The sequence below is a fragment of the Homo sapiens genome, chromosome 1 (assembly GCF_000001405.40).
Source record: "Homo sapiens chromosome 1, GRCh38.p14 Primary Assembly".
NCBI lineage: Eukaryota > Metazoa > Chordata > Mammalia > Primates > Hominidae > Homo > Homo sapiens.
In genome coordinates this window covers 147271344-147291612 of record NC_000001.11, presented here as the reverse complement: position 1 = coordinate 147291612, position 20269 = coordinate 147271344, and the positions used below count along the sequence as shown (strand labels likewise).

Genomic DNA, 20269 nt, shown 5'->3' with positions numbered 1-20269 from the left:
CTTCAAGAGAAGTTGATGTGAGTCCACTTGTAGTTCTGAGAAGAGATGGGTTTTACTTACCAAATCTTGCCCTTTGTTTCTTGATTCTTTATCATCAACAGGAAATAAAAGGACACCTCCCAAACTCAGGTCTGAGGTAAAACAGAAAGGAGCAACATAAAGAACACCAAGTTCACTAATGAATGAATCCTCCTCGTATCTCGCCTTCTTCAAATTCAGTTGGGTTTCAGGACCCACCTTCCTACACAGCCCTTTCTCACTTTCCTGGCCTCAGTCAACCTCTTAGCTGGGTACTCACCTGCTTCACTCCTGAATTTTTATGATCTCCTAATTTAATGCTCCTCAAACATTAACAACAAAGTACCCCTGTAGACATCAGAAAGTGAATACAAAACCCAGAGGTAGCTGGGGGGCTTTGGGGAGGGAGCACTATGAGCTTGAAATTCCTTTGGTAGTTTTGTGCTTGTCCTAAATCATTCAAATTATTACATTCTACTTTATCTCTACCTGTTTGTATAATATATTTTCCTACCCCATCCAAATCAAGTAAAACTGATAGTGAAGAAAAATGTGCTAATTTAATTCTATGGCTTTACATAAGCTGATGTGAAAGCGGTTAGAATCAAAATAGAGATGCTTGTGTTAAAAACTGACATATATGGCCGAGCACAGTGACTCATGACTATAATCCCAGTGCTTTGGGAGGCTGAGGTGGGAGGATTGCTGGAAGCCAGAGTTCCAGACTAACCTGGGCAACAAGGCGCAAGACCCAGTCTCTACAAAAAATAAGAAAAAGTTAGGTTTGGTGTTGTGAACCTGTAGTCTTAGCTACTTGGGAGGCTGAGGTGGGAGGATCTCTTGAGCAAAGGAGTTCGAGGCTGTGGTGAGCTATGATCACGCCAGTGCACTCCAGCCTGGGTGACAGGGTGAGACCCTATCTCAAAAAATAAAACAAAACTCTGACAAATAGAGCCAGGGAAGGCCATGAAGGGAAGGTTCTAATGCATAAACGTCTGATAACAAGAACTATCACAACAGATTTTACAAAACCCATGACCTTGCACAAGGGCCCTGGCAAGCTTACATAAAAATATACTTCTGCAAAGACATCTGCTCATCAACTGCCTGCCCAACCTCGGCGTGGTGCCACCCTTACTAATCCTTGTAGCCAAGGATAACTGATTCAAAAAAAGTATGTAATCTTCCTCATTTCTCCTTAAAAACCTCAGGCTGGGTGCAGTGGCTTATGTGTGTAATCCTTGCACTTGGAGAAGCTGAGGGAGGTGGACCACTTGAGCTCAGGAGTTTGAGGCCAGCCTGGGCAACATGGCAAAACCCTGTCTCTACCAAAAATTCAAAAGAGTGGCCGGGCATGGTGGTGTGCGCCTGTGGTACAAAGCTACTTGGGAGGCTGAGGCAGGAGGATTTCCTGAGCCTGGGAGGTGGATATTGCAGTGAGCCAAGATCGGGCCACTGCACTCCAGACAATGAGACTCCATCTCAAAAACAAAAACAAAACAACAAAAAACCTTTGTTCCTTTTATTTTACAGACCCTGTCTATTGGTTAGGTTGATACCAGTTTGAACTTTTTGTTCAGTCATTCTAAAATACTGGTTGTGCTATGCCATCCTTTTGATCAAATCCCCCAAAACGACCAGCTATTACCCATTCCATTAGATAAGGTTCTGCGCAGAATGGCATCTCCCTGGACAAATCATGTGACGTCTTCTATGATGTGGCCCAAGCCGCTGATGAAAACGAAACTCTCCTCTATTCTTCTGCCTAAACCCTCCACTCTGGCCTGCATGGCCTGTACGCCATCCTCCACACAAAGGAACAGGCTAACTGCCTGGGTCCTTCAATACCCACAGACAAGGAATAGTAAGTGTTGTAATGAGCAGTTGGGGATCCTCTTGCCATTTCTCTCCACCTATTCAAATTCAACCCACCTTTCCAGGCCCAGGACCTCCATGAAGCCTTCCCTGGGAATTGGAATCCACAGTTTCACCTACTTTGCTGCAACCTGCTTCAATCCTCCTTCAGAGAAAACTGCACACTCTCATCTCCATTTCCTTCCTGAGCCCTCAGGCCTTAAGTCTGAGCTTCCCACTCTCCTCAAAGTGCTCCAAGGTGAGCAACCTTGGGTCAAAATCCATGGCCTTTTCCCAATTCATCCTCACTTCAGTGTCTAATACCATGAACTTCTTTGCCTTCTTGACATACTTTCCTCCCTTGTACCTCAAAATACCGCACAAGGTTCCCTAATTGTCTGACAATTCCTTCTGTCAGAAATTCCATCTTCTTGCCTCAAGTCCTAAGTAGAGGTGTTTTCCAGGTCTGTTCTCTGCCTCTCATTTCTCCATCCTCTCTCCCACATGATTTTAAACACAGACTCCAAACAGGGACTCCTCAATCTGCACCTCCAGCTCTGACCTTCCCTGGGTTTTGCTTTGCCAACTGCCCAATCAGCATCTAGATCTGGATTGACTATTTCAACACACATTAAACCCTTCTTTCAGTAACTTGTTTTACTAGAAAAAGTAGTCATTCTAAGTTCTTATATCCCTTTCCACCATAGAGAACTGGGCAGAATTAGGAAAAAACAATATCTAAGGAATCTGGAGGGCCCTTCTCTATCAGACAAGGTCCTTCAATCTCCAGAAAATCACCACAATAATAATTTTATTCTTGCCACTTTGTTATTTCTGGATGTAAAAGGAGGTGCCTTTTTCCCTTCTCTGTGCCAAAGGACAATATTGTTCAGGCTTCTAAGTTCCCCTGGCACCCAACAGCTTTATTTCTGTCTCCAGGGAGTGTTATACCCAAGGTTGTGCTGACCTCTTAACACATCTTCATTCCACTCAGCACCAAACCCGAGTTCTTGTCAGCATTTTAATGGTATGTCCAATTTCTCTCCCATAGGTCTTTTTCTTGAGACAGTCTTGCTCAGTCACCCAGGCTGAAGTGCAATGGCATGATCTCAGCTCATTGCAACCTCCACCTCCCAGGTTCAAGTGATTCTTCTGCCTCAGCCTCCTGAGTAGCTGGGATTACAGGCATGTGCCACCATGCCTGGCTAATTTTGTATTTTTTTGTAGAGACAGGGCTTTGCCATATTGGTGAGGCTGGTTTTGAATTCCTTGCCTCGTCTCGGCCTTCCAAATTGCTGGGATCACAGCTGTGAGCCACCACGCCCGGCTTCCCATAGATCTTTGATATTTTCATGACATATTCCTTCATGTTTATTCCAATAGTTCTCTTTTTCTTTTTTTTTTTTTTTTTTTTTATTGAAACAGGGTCTCACTCTCACTCAGGCTGTAGTACAGTGGTGTAATCACAGCTCACTGCAACCTCAACCTCTTAGACTCAAGTGATCCTCCCACCTCAGCCTCCTGAGTAGCTGGAACTACGGGCATGCACCACCACATCCAGCCAATTTTTAAATTTTTGGTAGAGACAGGATCTCACTATGTTGCCCAAGCTGGTCTCAAACTCCTGGCCTCAAGCAATCCTCCTGCCTCAGCCTCCCAAAGTCTGGGATTACAGGCATGGGCCACTGTGTCCAGCCCATTCCAATACTTTAACATGTATGCAGGGATCAACATTTTTCAGAATACACACATTTATTATGCTTACTACAGTTCTATGAAGTAGGCAGAACAAGTATTATTCACAAATCACAGATGAGGAAACAGGTACAGAAAAGGTAAAGGAATGCCTTGAAGTCACAGAACAAGTAGCTAATTTATGACAGAATTCAGTCCCCAACTGGTTATTCTAATTCCTTATCTAGTGCTGTGTAACCCTCACGATACAGTCTTAGGTGTCCTCTTCTCTCTTATTCCACCCTTAACCTTTCCCTCTGCTTTGCTTCTTACCTTTCATTTTCCCAGCCAGCTCATATATTTTTCTTGGCTCAGCGGATCGCTTTTCCAGAGCTGTAAATAAACCACCTCTGCCCCAGTGGCCAGAGTCATCTGTTTGAAGAAAGAGAAAATTTTCATCTATAGGAGGTGAAGTCCAGTGCACAATTTAGAAAAACAAAGGCACACAAAAGGGACTTGTGGAAGAATGATTTTTCAAAGGGAAGAAACAAAATATCTTATCTCCTAGGAATATCACAGGTTGGACTTCCCAAATATGTTTATGTTTTCTGGAAGATATAGCTGGGGCCATGATAACAGGAAAGCATCTCAAAAATTAGGGTTCTCAATGAGCAAAATCTCTGTGGTGCATCTGTGATTCCTGGCAAATGACTGCGGAAGGACGGAGAGTAGATGGAACATTACAGAGTGAGTAGAAGCAATAGGTTATGCAACAGCACATAGGCAAGGTTATGAAACAGTACACAGGAAAGGTTAAGTGACTTATTCAAGCTGGTACTAACAAAGCTGCTTAGTATCTTAGCATTTATAGTCATTCATTCACACTACAAACGTTTGGTAGCATGTATTACACGTAAGGCATCGTTCTAGGCACCACAGTCACAGCAGCGAACAAGAAAAAACCCCTGCTGCCATAAGTGTATTTTTTAATGCAAAGCAACAGTCAAATAAACAAATACATAGGTAATGTGTCAGGTGGGACAGGTGTGATAAAGGAAAATATGGGAGAAGGGACAGAGAATAACAGGGGGGATGGGGCCTGTTTTATATGAGGTAATCACAGAAGACCTCTCTGAGAAACAGACATTTGAACAACACTTGATGTGGTTATTTGGGAAGAAAGGGTTTTAGGCAGATGAAGTAAAAAGTACAAAGGTCAAGCAAGGGAACAAGCTTGAAGTTTTGCTTTTTCTCAAAGGATTTGTTTGTCTTATCAATGTTGCTTCATTTCACCCTCTTAAAAACCTTGTGCAGAGGATAAGACAGATATTGTCCCATCATATGGATAAGGAAGTTGAAGTTGAAAGGTTGGGTAACTAAACCAGGTAAATGAGAAAGCCAAGAGTGAAATGATTCTGGAATATCTCCTGACTCTAAAATTCACACTTTTTTGACTGTACAATACTACACTGGGACCACCACCCCAGTCCCAGTGCCCCATCCTCCCCAGTTCTTGGCACCATAAGGACTGAGGCCCCCATCCCCAGCCCATACCACTTCTCGTACCTACGCAGTGCACAATGAGAGCATCCTCGGCCCCAGCCTGAGGGTGGGTGACATCACCACTAACGTACTTGAGGGAAGTAGCATCTGGGTCTTGGTAATCCAGCTCAGCAGAGCTCTCTTCCCCATTCTCAAGGTCCTCTGGCTCGCTCTCCTCAGAGGGCAGGCAGAAGGACTGGTAATTGTTGGATTCCCACCAGGCCATCCTTTAGCAGGCCAGAGACAAAAGGAAATTAACCCAGACAATCACAATTTCCCTTGGAGCACATTTTATACTGCTGTTCACAAACAATATCTGCCAAGTAGAAATGCAATTAGAAACTCACCCTGATTGAAGTTTTCTACTTATTTGTAAACAAGTCTTACTGATTAGGCTAACTGCTTCCTGACTACAATTCAATAATGAGCACTCCCTGAATGTTCCTGTTTTTAAGACTAAAAGAGATTGTTGAAGTAAATTATTCTTTGTCAGATAGCTACAATAAAATCTTAAAATCTTCTGGTTTTGGCCGGGCATGGTAGCTCACGCCTGTAATCCCAGCACTTTGGAGGTCAAGGCAGAAAGACAGCTTGGGCCTAGGATCTTGAGACCAGCCTAGGCAACACCGTGAAACTCTGTCTCTACAAATAATAAAAAAAATTAGCCAGGCATGGTGGCACACACCTGTGTTCCCAGCTACTAGGGAGGTTATAGTGGGTAGATCACTGAGCATGGGAAGTTGAGGCTGAATGAGCTGTGCCCATACCACTGTACTCCAGCCTGGGTAACAGAGCAAGAACCCATCTCAAAAGAAAAAAGAAAACAATTCTGGTTTTAATGGAATGCATCTTCCCTGCCTTATACACTGAGACTTTTCACTTACCTAGAGGAAATGTTTTCAGAAAGTATTCTGTTACCAATAGGAACCAACTTAAAATGAATTTTCTGTATTTTTAAAGTGATATTCAACTGTGGTCTCACTATACAATAGTGACTCCTTCAACTGTGGCCGCCAGCTTGGTTAACGCAGACATACTTTTTCTTATGTTCAGCCTCTTCCTTTTGCCTCTTCTTCTCCTCTATGAGTCTCCTTCTCTTGGCAGCTGCTTCTTGTCTTTTCTTCTGTCTGTCCTCCAGCTCTTCTGGACTCAGAACCCGCTTCCTTTTGGTAGATCCCTCCACAAGGCCTGGGATGAGAACCTAGAGGAAGAACAAGATCCATCACCAGGGTCAAGAAGATTCCTCCCCGAATTTCATTATCCCTAACACACACTGTACGGAAGCAACATGCTTAATATTCCACAGAACACTGCATCTCCACACACCCTGCATGGTGGGAACTGGAGGCAAAGCACTTGGAGGCACTGTTCATACTACACACTTCACAGGCACAGTGACCAGGATACCATGCTGTAAACTCAGCCCTAGCATTGGCATGGTTGAAACAGTCATTTTGATTCATTTCATTAGGAATAAGTTACTTCAGAAAAGTAACTTTTTTCCTTGACTAAAAGCATACCCTGCAGGATGCCACTTCAGCCATTTTTAATGGAACTCTTTCTGCAATGTATTATGTAACTTTTTTAAGATTGTATTTCAACATCATGATTATCTTAGTGATAGCTAGCATTTAATGACCACGTTAACTGCCAAACACTGTGAACACTACATATATCATTTATGATTGCCATCCTCTCTTCTTGTCATAGGGTCATCATTACCAACAGCAGGATATGGTATTTTGGTATAATATAGGAATGCCTTTAGGGGTGACTTGGATGGACAAGGCTGCTTTCACCTACATGACATCGTACAATATATTCTCTCCTTTATGTTTTTCATGCTGACTTTTTTACATAGTTTTTATACTAGGGTATAGTTAATTATAATAACATTTCAGCAAACACATACTTATTTCTTGACAAATCATCCTAAGAGAACAAAACGATGCCAGCATCATTTTTTTGTTTGTTTTAGAATGAGAGTTTGGAAGAACAACTTTTAAATAAATTAACAGTTCTTACACTGCCTTTATTTCGGAGTGATCGGCCCTCTTGACTAGCTTTCTCCAAAAGGGTTTTCTGAAGGTTTACCAGTTGTTCAAATGATTTTCTGTCTTCCTTACTGGGCTCTTTAGAATAATCTTTACCTTCAAATAAGTACATATGATTTTCTAACAACATAAAACACAAAGAGAGAAATGTTAGATACCAAGGAAAAATAGATTAATGCTATTCAAATCAATAACAAAAGTGGACAGGAGAACAGCCTATATTCTAAATGGGCTAAGTCCATATGAAGGAAGGTATTTCATTTCCCATCCCACTGACACTGAAGAATGTGGGTTCTACATGGGGATCCCATGTGTTTACTTTTCCAAGGGGAGAGCATGGCTTAAAACCCTTTGGTTCATCCCTAGATGGTTTGTGAATCTCTGCTGGATTCTTCCATTCATTCCTCATTCATTTATTCCCAACTATCCCTCAGCGCAAATCTCACTGACATTAAGATCATCTAATAAAATCCGTACTTTTTTATTCCAAACACACTTTTAATATTCAGCTTGGCAAATCTATGAGAAAATGAAGAATCACAAAAATAATCCCTTGGATTTACAATATTCTTTACAGATCTCATCAAGCGTCTTCGTCATGATCCTCACCACAATCCTGGTATAACTAATCCTACTTTTGAAAGGGAAAACTGAGGCTTAGGCAGAAATTAAGGGACTCTGTAATTCTCACTGGAAGAGGCAGGATTTTCTGATTCTAAGGCCAGTGTGCTCTTTTCAGTATATAATTGGGTCTCTAGAAGGGTGGAGAGATTAACAGGCTAGCAAATAATAACTGTGGTAATAATAACAATGAAGACAATAGTGTCATCTTGAATAGCACTTCATGCTGTCAGATCACTTTCACAACTATAATCGTGTCTGATTTTTCCAACTGTGTAAAAGAGTAAAGTAGGCATTAATAGGACCATTTTACAGATGAGAACAAAAAGGCTCAATGAGGTTGAGTGATCTGCCAAGATCATGAATCAAGTGATTAAGAAAAGTCAGGACCAGCCAAGACTAGCAACCACAGATAGGTAAGATAATGATTGAATCGGGAAGCATATTTAGTAGCACATGTTACCAAATAATATATTTTCACAATATTTGTGAAATCCATTATAAGTATGTTTTCCCTAGAGAGTATGAAAGCAAAACATTTTCATTCTCAAGAGATCAATTGCTTCACACTTGTACCCAAATCTAACCAGCTGTAATTCTAATTGGCATTTGCTAATTAAATCAGCAGGGGGCTTTCAATGAGGCACTCTATCAACAAGTAGAAAAAAATAGAGCTGAGAAGTGTCAAATATGATCAACATATGTAGCTTCATACTGCATGCAATTCTCAACTTCCAACCATGCTTTTTAAAAAAATGTTGGCATTTAAGATAAAGCAACCCTGTTTTTTATTTAATTCTGATTGGGGCCACGTTAGTTACTAGTCTTTCCTATCCACTTATATTCTTTGTAATCATACTTCCTATCTTCACTCTGCCATCACAAGCCTAGACCCGCGTCTCTATCCTACCAGGAGAATCATTTACCACAGAGCGGACCTATATCCATTCATCGAAGAGAAAATTCCAAAGTGTAATACAACTGGGGATTTTTTCTGGCAGTTGGACTGTCTAAATAAAGTAAAATTATTTTAGGCAGTTGGATTGACTGAGAAATATAATTATCTTTCTGGAAAAGAGTGTGACTTTATTTTGTTCTAGTAAACGTTAGGAAAATAAGCTGAAATTATCTAGATCAGTACAGAACTGAGTGTGTTGCTACTTAATATAATCAATTATAACTTAAAAATATGATCACATGCATCTATTTCTTCTCTCACTTGAAACCACAAAGTGACAGTTAAAGGAATTTTAAAAAAGATCTATGAGGCAATGGTGGATGAAAAAGTTCAAGAACCTTTTGGAAAATGCAAAGTTGCTGGAGGGATAATGACAGATTAAGAAGAGACATGGAAACAAAACACAGGTGCCTAGCCAAGGGCTCATTAGGAGTCTAGAGACCCTCTCAATCCCCCAAGAGCTTAGGACTTACAAGTACAGAGTACTGCAAAGCGGGGAATTGAGAGAAGATCTGCACCCCAAAGAGCAGGAGTGCCATGAGCCCTTGACTCACCCCGCCTTTTCAGTTTCAGCAACCAGGTGAACTCCATTCTCACCTCTCCCAGGGAAAATACTAGAAGATTGGTCTCTGGAGAAAATGGGTTGCCCAGTGAAAAGACATCAAATATGGATCAGAGAAGGTGCCCTCCATGTAAAAGCTGACTCACCAACCAGGAATAAGTCCCCAGGGCCCATGCCAGAGCTGCCCTCAGCTTTGTGGCACTTCATCAGCACATGTGATCAGACAGCCAGGGAATACCAGACGGTTGGGGAAACTATCGATGAGAACAAGAGATCCCCAAACGAATTTTCCTTTTTAGAAAAAGAGGTACCATGGTGACTATAGCTAATGATGACATATTGTATTCCTGAGAAATACTAGGAGAGTGGACGTTAAGTGTTCTCACCACAAATATATAACCATATGAAGTGATGTATGTTCATTAGCTAGATTTAATGATTCCACAATGTACATGTGCTTCAAGAAATCATGTTGTACATGATAAATACAATTTTATCTGCCAATTTCAATAAATAAATAAATATATATATATTTTTTTAAAGAAGTAGAAGTAAAAGTCAATGCAATGGGAAGAGAAATACTTTTTAAAAAGATGTAATATTCTCCCTGGAATACATATTAAGAAGCCATAATAAATGTCCCCAGAGAAGACAGTATGTCCTTGAAATGAGAACAGAGTTACAATTAAAACAATAAGCAGAGAACAAGAAAGAGTTCTTGAAGAATACAAACAAGATATTTTTATAAAGAATTTCGAAGATAAAACATAAAATCAAAAAGCAGTTTCCTGTAAAACAATGCCAGCTGCCCAAATTCCAACTTTTCCACCTATCCCACAAAAACTATACAGATCAACAAGGACAACAAAACCACCCCAATCCATGCCTACTACATTAGGAGTCAGAAAATATTACACACTTCAACTTATGGAAGTTAAGAGAAATGAACCCCCAAAACCAGCTCCAAAGCCCACACTAGAGTAGACAGTCAGGCAGAGACTATGCAGTGGAGAGGGCAGGAGGGTTCCAGAAAGGTCAGACAGATAAAAGTTACCCACAAAAGACAGTCCCATTCCAAGTGGGAAAATAATGAGGATAGGTCTGAGTGGATCAGAGCAGTGGCTACTAAGGAACTGAACAGAAGGGAAGGTATGAAAATACATGCAGCCAGGAATTAGGGAAGGCATTGCTTCTGGCAGGGAGAGAGACAACTTAGAAGTGGGAAGACATCCTTTGACAAGTTTGTGGCACAGAGAGAAAGCGAGCGATGGAAATTCACGGTCCTATAGAAACAAAAGAGAACTACAAAACCAGAAATCATGCCACTACCACTACCCAAAATAAAAAGGAGCTACCATCTAGTGAAGAAACAGCACTATTGTGTATAATTAAAAGAAAGTACTGGTGAATTAAGAAGCCTAGTAAGACTCCCAAACCTCTCACCCCAGTCCATATTGAATCTCTGCTGCAGCTGGTACAGAAAAATAAGTCATTTCAAAATAACTACAAGATGCCAGGGAATACCTTTACAAAGCTACCATGTGAAAAATTACTTCAAATCGGAAATTTAAGTGCTCAGAATAGAAAAGAACAAAATGACAAATGCTGACCAAATTCAGGAAAGAAAATTAAGAGAAAGACAAAACCATCTCCTACATCTCATGGATTACAGAAATTAAATGGAAAAAGCACATGACAAAGTCCGCACTGTTGATGAACGCAAAATAAATGCTTAATGTTAGCTGCAATTTTAAAAACAAGTAATTCTACTGTTTAGAAGAGGAATCGCTATGTGCAAAGCATCATACCAAGGATGGTAGGCTTTACTAATAAAGAAGAAGATGTTTGCAACCAAGGGAGAAAAGGTACAAATTCAAAGCCTTAAGATTGATACTATCATAAACATTAATACTATGATTTTGGTTCACAGTTCAGCTACAAGGGAAGAGCCACACAAATTTCCAGTTAGTTTGGGTAACGTTCTTTTATCAAGCAAGTCTTAAACAGTGTGCCCAAATGACAATAGGGTAAGGGAGAAAAAAGATGCCCCAGAGAGCAGCATCCAAAACTTTCCATGGGGACGTGAGCTCTAGCTTGGGGTGGTTGTGCCATTTGCTCTGCTCTAACCTCCAACTTACTTCCTTCCTCTTGATCTCTGCTCCCTCCTTCTGCTGCAGGCAAGGCATCAGAGACCCACTGGCCATCTTTTGTTTCTCCCAGGATGGACTCCAGGTCTATTTCATCCATGGTGCTCCCCTCAGAGGCCAGCAGTTTATCCAAACCAAATTTGAGTATCTCACTCAACTTGAATAGAGGAAACAAAAAAGTCCAGCAAATTCTCATGAAAAGAAACATTAGGATATCAGTGATTGGCTAAGTGGATTAACGACACCAGGCACAGTCCTTCTCTAATGAACAGGCAGCCTTTCTGCTCTCCCCATCATAGATAGTAACAGCCAGGGCCATTTAATAGTTGGATGATGGGTAAGCAGAGAGGTGATAAATGATTATCAGAGGTATTGACTTTGACAATTCTGCATAAAAACAAAACAAAAAAAATGTATAAGCCTCCAATTTTTTTGAAGAATAATAGTAACTTCCTGCATTTTCTACAGCACCTCTCACTGACTTTTTCATAAGCATTCCCAGCAGCCACTTGAGATCAGAGACCCTGTTAGCTACTTTCCAACCTCTCCACTGCCAGACTCCTTAGAAAGGGAAGGCTACACTAGGAACTTTACCTCTATCATGAACTGACTCCTTTTCTTTGGCAATTTGTTTTCCTAACACAGTGGTCTATCGAAACCACCTTGGCAAAGATCAGTAACAACTTCTGACCACCAGACCCGAAGGCCTTTTCTCAGTTTGAATTTTTCTGGATGTTCCTCTGGCATTGCACTATCCTGCTTCTCTTCTCTCGTCCCTCTCTGGAGTACTCTCAGCCTATTCCCTATGGCTGTAGGAACCATGCAGAAAGCACAGATAATTTTTCCTGGCTTTCACTTGCTACTTCCAACTTTGCACCTCCGTAAGCACTAATTCTGAGATCCTGACCCAAGGTGGATTCAAACCTTGGGCCCTTGTTCTCATCTTGCCCTTTTAGACTGGGTTATCTCCAGATCGTCTATTTTGTGAGTAACTTGGAAATGTTAAGGTATTCTGTAACAGCTTGAAGAAACAATAGACAGCTCACTTAAGCATGAATGTACCTAGATATATTATATTTACCCTCCATACACATAACCAGGATGACTGGCTTTGGCAGCTGGTACCAAAAATAGTAGGAAGCCAACTATTTATGATAAGAATTGGTCCATACTGGGACCCTCCCTTTCACCCCCTTGTACTTATGCTCACCTCCTGGCTCTCCCTTGTTATTGCTCACTTGCAATGTGTCTTAGTCATTAAGAAAATTACATGTGTTTTTATGAGAAGCTGTATATTACAGTAATTAAGGGCATGTGCTCGGAGGTTAGAGAGTGCTTGGATTGGAATCCTAAATCTGAATAACCTTGGGCAAATTACTTAAGATGGGGATAAAGATAGTGTCTATCTCATCCTGCTGTTATTCTTATTTACTGAAACAACTGGAAAAGAGCACCTCAGACAACACTCAGCACACAGTATCCAATAAGTGTTCACTACACCTGCATCTGCCTGCCTGTTTCTACTGTGTCCTCCCTGCAGGATAAAAAACCTGTTTCCTTCTTTCAGGACTTCAGAACTCCATACCTACTGCTTAGATTTACCAAATCAGAACCACATCTTTTACTTTTGGTTTCTTGGTATTTAAAAAAAAAAAAATACCCCCAGGCGCAGTGGCTCATGCCTGTAATCCCAGCACTTTAGGAGGCCGAGGTGGACGGATCACAAGGTCAGGAGATCAAGACCAGTCTGGCCAACATGGTGAAACCCCGTCTCTACTAAAAATGCAAAAATTAGCTAGGCGTGGTGGTGCGCGCCTGTAGTCCCAGCTACTCAGGAGGCTGAGGCAGGAGAATTGCTTGAACCCGGGAGGCAGAGGTTGCAGTGAGCTGAGATCGCGCCACTGCACTCCAGCCTGGCAACAGAACGAGACTCTGTCTCAAAAAAAAAAAAAAAAAAAAACCCAAAAAACAAAAACAAACAAAAATCCCCTGCTTTCTTTTTAGACAAGGGCTCTGGGTTATCACCTTTGCTTTTGGTAACCACAAATAACTCATAGCATCTGCATGGGGAAGAGATAAATCAGACATTAGAGTCAGAAAGTAACTTTCCGATAACCATGAGCTGGGCAAGAAGTCCAACAGAGTCGCTCTCAGCCAGCAGTCCATGTTCCCACTCGTTTGTGGCCCCATGGGGTGGAGGTATGTCTACATCTTTCACAGTGATGTGTCCAGCAGCCCACATCACAAGATACCCCTCATTGGACCCCTGGCGCTCCCTCCACTGGGAGAGTGCAAACAACCTATGACATCCTTCCTCCTCTAACAAGAGAATGCGGGCCTTGTGAGGCTCTGTCATTTACCCCTTCACTATGCCCAGCAGTGACCTTCTCTCTCTTAAGGTTCTATGGATAATTTTTCTGTGGAAAACTGCATTTAAGGGTATCTACAGCGTACCTCTACCTCTCTCTCAAGCTTTCATCTCACATTTATAATTGTCTCTTAGTGTGAAAACAAAATGTACAGCCTGCCCTAGCACCATTATGGTTAATTAAGCATGCATGTGACACAGTCAGCAACACAAGGAAAGTCAGAAAAAGAAAAAAGCCACACCTACCCCCTAAGATAAACAAAGAACAAACCCAGTGTTACTCTTTCTAGTTCTAGTCCCAAAATTAATAAAACCTTGAGCCTTTCCTGTAATTACTAACTCCCTAACAAAAACAACAGGATCCCTGTCTTTTGCAACACTGATATGTAAAGATATGCACTGGCCTTTGCAGATACGGTAACCATGTAAGAAAACTGCTGTTTTTTCAGACTAATTACAAACTTAGTAACTCTGCTTCTAATATTGTGTCACTTTTTCTCTCTTAAACACTTATGTTTTTTGATGGACTAGTCCTTTCCAATCCTAGTCCATCTTGCAAACTTTTACAAATAAAATTCTTTCCTTTTGTCTGAGTCTGCCTCTAACAATAGTTTGTTTATATTGTATTTTTACTGCACACTCTGACTAAAGCCTAAATTCTCTTTATCTTCCTAAAACTCTGCCCTACTTCTTATTTTCCTTTCTTCTCTCCTCATCATAGGGGCCTAAAACCTCACAGCCATCTTTGAATTTTCTATCTCCCTACTGTTGAGACCCAACTCTAAACAGTAGCCAACTCCTGTCCTTCCTTCTTTTGCAATGTTTCTCACACCAGACTCTCCCACTGATGCTGCCCTTGACAGACATTTATTACTCCCTTCATACCTGCATCTTTCTAGTATCCTAGGAGTTGGTCTCTTTGCATCCAGCCCCTCATCCTTAGGGCAAAAACAAAGCATCCAGGAAATATTATGAGTTTTAATTTTAACCCAAGGGCTGCTACAGAGTAACTCTAAGTCCTCTTCCAAAAGAGAGCTCTAAAATCTTCCAATCCAGTGTCTGTCTCCCATCCAGTACTCCCTTCTTTAAATAAATTACCTCTAGTTCTTTCACCCATTTTTTCTAAGGCACAATTATGAATTCCTGATCTCATTCGCCCTCTTCTGAGTATGAAGTAATGTAAGTCACTGATCAAAGGCTCTGGGACTAAGGTGGAAGTACAGAATTAATTGTTATTGAGTTCTTTATTTTAACTAATTCTCTTAACAGCCCTCTGAGCTAACCTGTGGTGTCTTTATTTTTAGAAATGCAAAAAGAGTAGATCTAAGAAGTTAAGAAAGCCGCTCAAACCCAAACAGCCAAGAAGTGATGAGGCTTGGAACTAATCCTTACTTCCTACAGACCCTGCACACAGCCAGCACTGTGGCAGGTGTGAGGGAGGCCAAGGAACAAATGTGTAGCTGGGGAGAGGGTGAGTGCTGGTTCTTTTCATTTACATTCTCCTCCACAAAGGGTATTGGTATATTCCAAAGTGAAGAACAGTATATCATATCATACCTGGAGGTCAGCATCGGCAGCGGGTTTCTGGGCTCCCAGAGTAAAATGGCCTCCTTCTATGATCATGTTGGTGAGCTGCAGTTTGGAGGCTGCTTTCCTATAGACTATTTCTTCCACAGTGTCTCGACCAATCAGCCGAATAACTTTAACAGACCTGGACATAAGTCAAACAAGGGTAGTGTGCTATAAGGGTGTGCAAAGCTGGGCAAAAGTATGCAAGGTAAATACATCTAAAAGCAAACAAAACCAAATACCATATTCAGGGTACAATGAAAGGGAGATTGGTTCATTTGGTCCTGAGCACTTGTTAGAGAGAACTCGCCTGAAATTCTCTCTGAACCATTCCAGACAGTCAAAGAAAGAATGATGGGGTAACCATGACTGGGATTCCTTATCTGTAGCCAAGGAAAATATCTGGAAGATCAAATTATCCTCAGATCAAAGGGCAACATCTATCTTTCTTTTTTTTTTTTTTAGCTTAGCTCCATAGCCCCATAACCCCATTTTTTAACTGAGTCAGACCCTAACTCAAGAAGGATGAGTTAAATGACTTCTAAAGTTTCCTTCTAATCCTTTCACAGTTTGATTTGACTCCTTCTAATAAAGTCAGTCTGGACTGATAATGTGACCCACCCAATACTACCCTAGGAGTCAATAGCACAGATGAGCTAAAACCTGGTGGTCTCTCAGCTCCCAGTGTGGGACTGTCACCAGGACTATATTCTTCACCTTTTTCACAACCCAGAACTGCTGCTGGGCAAGCCAAGGAAGCAGAAAAAAATCACTTACTTGTTTTGGCCAATGCGATGAGCCCTGGCAGCTGCTTGCAAGTCATTCTGAGGATTAAAGTCACTGTCAACAAAAATCACAGTATCTGCTGCTGTTAAGTTCATGCCAACTCCACCTGAAAACAATGCAAAAAGGAATGTAATCAGCAGCACAAAGACGAGGAGCTAGAAAATAAGCACAAGGCTAGAGTGGGTCAGACTGATAAACTGAAATCAGTCAAAACAATTGGCTTCATCCTTCAAATGGACCCACACCCCTAACTCCAAAGCCTTGTTCCAGCGGTGAGAAGTGCTACCTGACCTCTTATTGCCTGATGGGAAAATTTTTATTACTGAATGGAACAGAATGAGCGGAGCAGGGGCAAGTGGCCAAGGTGGATACTTAAGTCAGTGCCATGGAGCCACTTTATCTCTTCTGCTTAAAAACCTTGATTAGATTTTGATTAGAGTAGTCTGAGGAAAAGGACACATGCTCTTTCAGAAAACAGATCTAAATATGAGAGGTCTGCAGTGCGCACTGTCAAGAGAAGAGTGCCGAATGTCGCTTGCAAGTTACAACTAGGTAGCAAGATCTCTGATAAAAAGTTAATGAGAAGAGTGGATGATATTATACTCCTGAGCAGAGTGGGAAACCTCCTCCCTCTGATTAGAGAAAACTCCAGTGAGTCTTTTTTGTACTGGTTTCCACATTAATCAAAAAGAAAGTAACAAAACCAACGGCAAGACAAGAACACTCTTGTCATTTACTCTGAGTGTTCTGAGGCTTGCTCAGAACACTCTTGCTGGTCTTTCTTCAGTGCTGCAGGAAGAGAGCTGAGGAGGTACCTTGAGTTACAGGAATTAATTAAGAGAACCGTGAAGGTACATTGCAGCCTTCTCTTTGATTAATGTGAAAACAAGTACAAAACAGACTCCCTCTTGCCAGGGTCGTTAGAGCTGGTTGCTGAAACAAGCAAGCCTGAAAGGGCTTGTTCCATAAACCTGAATTAAGGACTAACTTTTAAGAAGGACTACTGACCATAAGCTGGATCTCCAGACAAATCAGGCAGGAATATTCTAATTAAAGTCTTCGTATCAAGTTGAAGTTGGAACAAGGAGGTAATCATGACCGATTACTGAGAGATGCTAAATTATACCTAATAATAATGATAATGACACTTACGCTGTGCTTACTACTTGCCAGGCATTATTCTAAGCACTCTCTCTATATTAACTCCTTTAACCCTCACAACAACCCTGTCGGGAAGTTGAGTAGTTGCTACGATTTTCCCCACTTTATAGATGTTGAAAGGGAGGGTAAGGGACTTCTCTGAAGTTGCAAGCCTAGAAGGTGAAAGAGCCAGGATTCATTCCCTTGCAGTCTTGGTCCAGAGCCCGTGCTTTTATCCACTATACTATAATACTTTTCAGGTGCTTATTTCATTTTAAAATGTGTTCCATAAAATTATCTTCTTGAATTCATGTTGTCTAAGTGCAGCTCTTCACCGAGGGGTGAGATTTTTATAAATAAGCCACACCCACATCCATGAATAGGAACATATTCATGAGCTATCACTGCCATCTGGTGGCAACATGACTCATCACAGAAATATTTGAAATTTGGAAGGAAACCTGTTAAATAAATGAAAATACTGCAAAACTACAACAAAACTGTGACAGCAAACACAACAGTGTTTGGAGAAGACTAATGTCCAGGACTGCTTCAGCTCCCAGATCTACTCTGAGTCCTCCAAGGAGATTAACTGAAAAGCAGAGATCTCTTTTTTCCTAATTTTAGACATTTCAAACATAATGCTGCTCTCTGAATATGAGGATGATGAAATCATTAAAGCATAAATAAAACTGTTTTCCCGGCAGTGATGATGCACTGCCTGATTCTTTCAGTTTCTCCTGAGACTAACCCTGAGGCAACTGATCACATGAGAAAATGGCTGAGACTCCATGTGCAGTCTATGATCTTGGAAGAGTGAGGCCAAATGAATCTTATGTTATTAATTTTATTAGGGAGATAAAACAAACACAGGTGAAATAATCTCCTTATAATCAAAAATTATATCTAACACTTCTTTCATATACCCTTATAGCAGCAGGCATTTAGAAAGCTTTCTAAATAAGACTGAACTCTCTTTTTAGAAAAATGTCAATCTGTCTTTAATAGAGGACACACATCTCTTTCATGTTCCTGCATGTACTCCATCAAGATTTATGTCTACAAAAATAAGATAATGAAACTAGGATCCTATGAGTTGAAAACTAAGGTCAGCTTGCTCCAGGACCTGAGAAAAATTTCTTAGGCTGGAATGTAGTGGTGCAATCTTGGCTCACTGCAACCTCCGCCTCCTGGATTCCAGCGGTTCTCCTGCCTCAGCCTCCGTAGTAGTTGGGATTACAGGCACGCACCACTACATCCAGCTAAGTTTTGTATTTTTTTAAGTAGAGACGGGGTTTCACCATGTTGGCCAGGCTGGTCTCAAACTCCTCACCTCCAGTGATCCACCCACCTCAGCCTCCCAAAGTGCTGGGATTACAGGCATGGGCCACCGTGCCGGCCTTTTTTTTTTTTTTTCCAGACACCACAATGACTTAGAGAATCATTTCATCTCCAAGAGCTGATTTCAAATTATGTAACAGTAAATGAAAGCACTCTGTAACTGGTAAAGCATTACAAATGTCGTAATATTCACGATTTAAATCATATATGGATGATGTCATAAATAATTCTAAAAAGTTGGTATTTTCAACATAATCACATTTTTTAACAACTAGATTTTTGTTAAGCTTTTCAGCACTATTCCAGAAATACTTATAGAGGAAGGACAACTAGTAGACAAACTGTTACCTTATTTCCCAAATTCACGGTTGGGAAGAAGAGCTACTTCCACTGAATGTAAATGAAACATTCCACAAAATCACATAAATCTTTCAGGACATTCCCAGGTCAATGGTCAAAGCAGATTAGAATTACTTTCCAATAACCCCAGGTTTCAGCCTTACTTCTTTGCTGAGATGACAGTTTGGACAGGCTGGATAGAAAACAGCACCATGCTTGATGTCCAGTACCTTGTTTTACATTCAATAGTAACCTCACCTTTCAGAGAATTAAGGAAAAAAGTGTACTAACCGTTGGGATGTAATAGTACTCTATTATCCCTCATTTGTCTGTTTCCATCAATGCCTTTGCAGCCTACCTGCCCTAGTACTCAGGAGAAAAACGAAAATGGGCTGCTGTCCAAAGTTCTTAATGGCCAAGTGTCTCTCTTCTCCTCTCACAGAACCATCCACACGCTCATAGCTGTAGCCTTTACAGAGAGGAAGAAAAACAGAAATCTTAACCCTTTTCAAGTAGTCTTTGGGGAATAAAAAATTAAGCCCAAAACCAAAGGCCAATTTTGTCCCTTTCCATATACAGGCACAGCCCTACTTTAAGCAAATCCCAAAGGGAAAAATTTAAATTAACAGGGACAATTATCATTTTACAAAATAACTCACCATAACATACTCCTCTGGATTTTTTAAATACATGCAGTTGAAGTCTTTGGCACTTATGAAGTTAATACTCAGTTTTGACTATTCTCAAGCAACCCTGAGCATCTATCCTGTGTGATAGTTTCAACTTTGCTGAGATGTAATTCTTATGTAAACAGAAGACAAGCGCTTGGAGGCAGGTGAGTGAGCCCCTTCTAACAGTCCAGCAATCTGCCTTTCAGTGAGGCTTTAGAGTTCGCCACCTGCCTCCATGCATCCGTGTGGGGAAGGGGAGCTACAGGATCAGGCTGTTTATGCATCTGGGGACCCCTCAATGGCCAGTGGCATGTGCCAACGGCATTCTGCAAGTGTCCACTGGACCAGGTATACTGCGGAACTCAGACACCCGGTCTGAACTACTTTTTTAAATTGTAAGGTCTGGAGCTGTTCAACATTGGGCTCAAGATCAACTCATGTTAGAGCCTTTTCTCATCATCTCACACAAATCTTATTACATATTAAACAGACTTCCCAGGTAATAACCTACATTCTTTATTGTCTATGCAGAAAAAGTTGCTCTTACTTTTCCCCTGGCTTATTTGTTATCTCTATAATTTCAATATTCACCTTTTCACTGATCATGAGTAAGTGCTCAACTGTT

The 20269-nt window shown here is 41.1% G+C and overlaps 1 protein-coding gene across 39 annotated transcripts in view; it reads right to left on the bottom strand.

Moving 5' to 3' along the window:
• The window catches only part of CHD1L (chromodomain helicase DNA binding protein 1 like), a 123016-nt gene that overhangs the window by 4150 nt on the left and 98597 nt on the right, over positions 1 to 20269 (bottom strand). For 32 of the 39 annotated variants that reach the window (NR_145682.2, NR_145683.2, NR_145692.2 and 29 more), the window contains 9 exons: positions 19332 to 19442; positions 16145 to 16259; positions 15356 to 15509; positions 11422 to 11587; positions 7114 to 7262; positions 6126 to 6289; positions 5113 to 5315; positions 3880 to 3978; positions 61 to 131 (listed from right to left, as the gene is read on the bottom strand). Coding sequence is in view for 23 of the 39 variants with exons in the window: in NM_001348451.2 (NP_001335380.1) it covers positions 61 to 131; positions 3880 to 3978; positions 5113 to 5315; positions 6126 to 6289; positions 7114 to 7262; positions 11422 to 11587; positions 15356 to 15509; positions 16145 to 16259; positions 19332 to 19442 (1232 nt within the window). In the remaining 16 variants the exon portion in view is untranslated. Of the gene's footprint in view, positions 1 to 60; positions 132 to 3879; positions 3979 to 5112; positions 5316 to 6125; positions 6290 to 7113; positions 7263 to 11421; positions 11588 to 15355; positions 15510 to 16144; positions 16260 to 18982; positions 19308 to 19331; positions 19443 to 20269 lie in introns of those variants that run through there. The other 7 variants (NR_145686.2, NR_145694.2, NR_046070.3 and 4 more) reach the window with 5 other exon arrangements.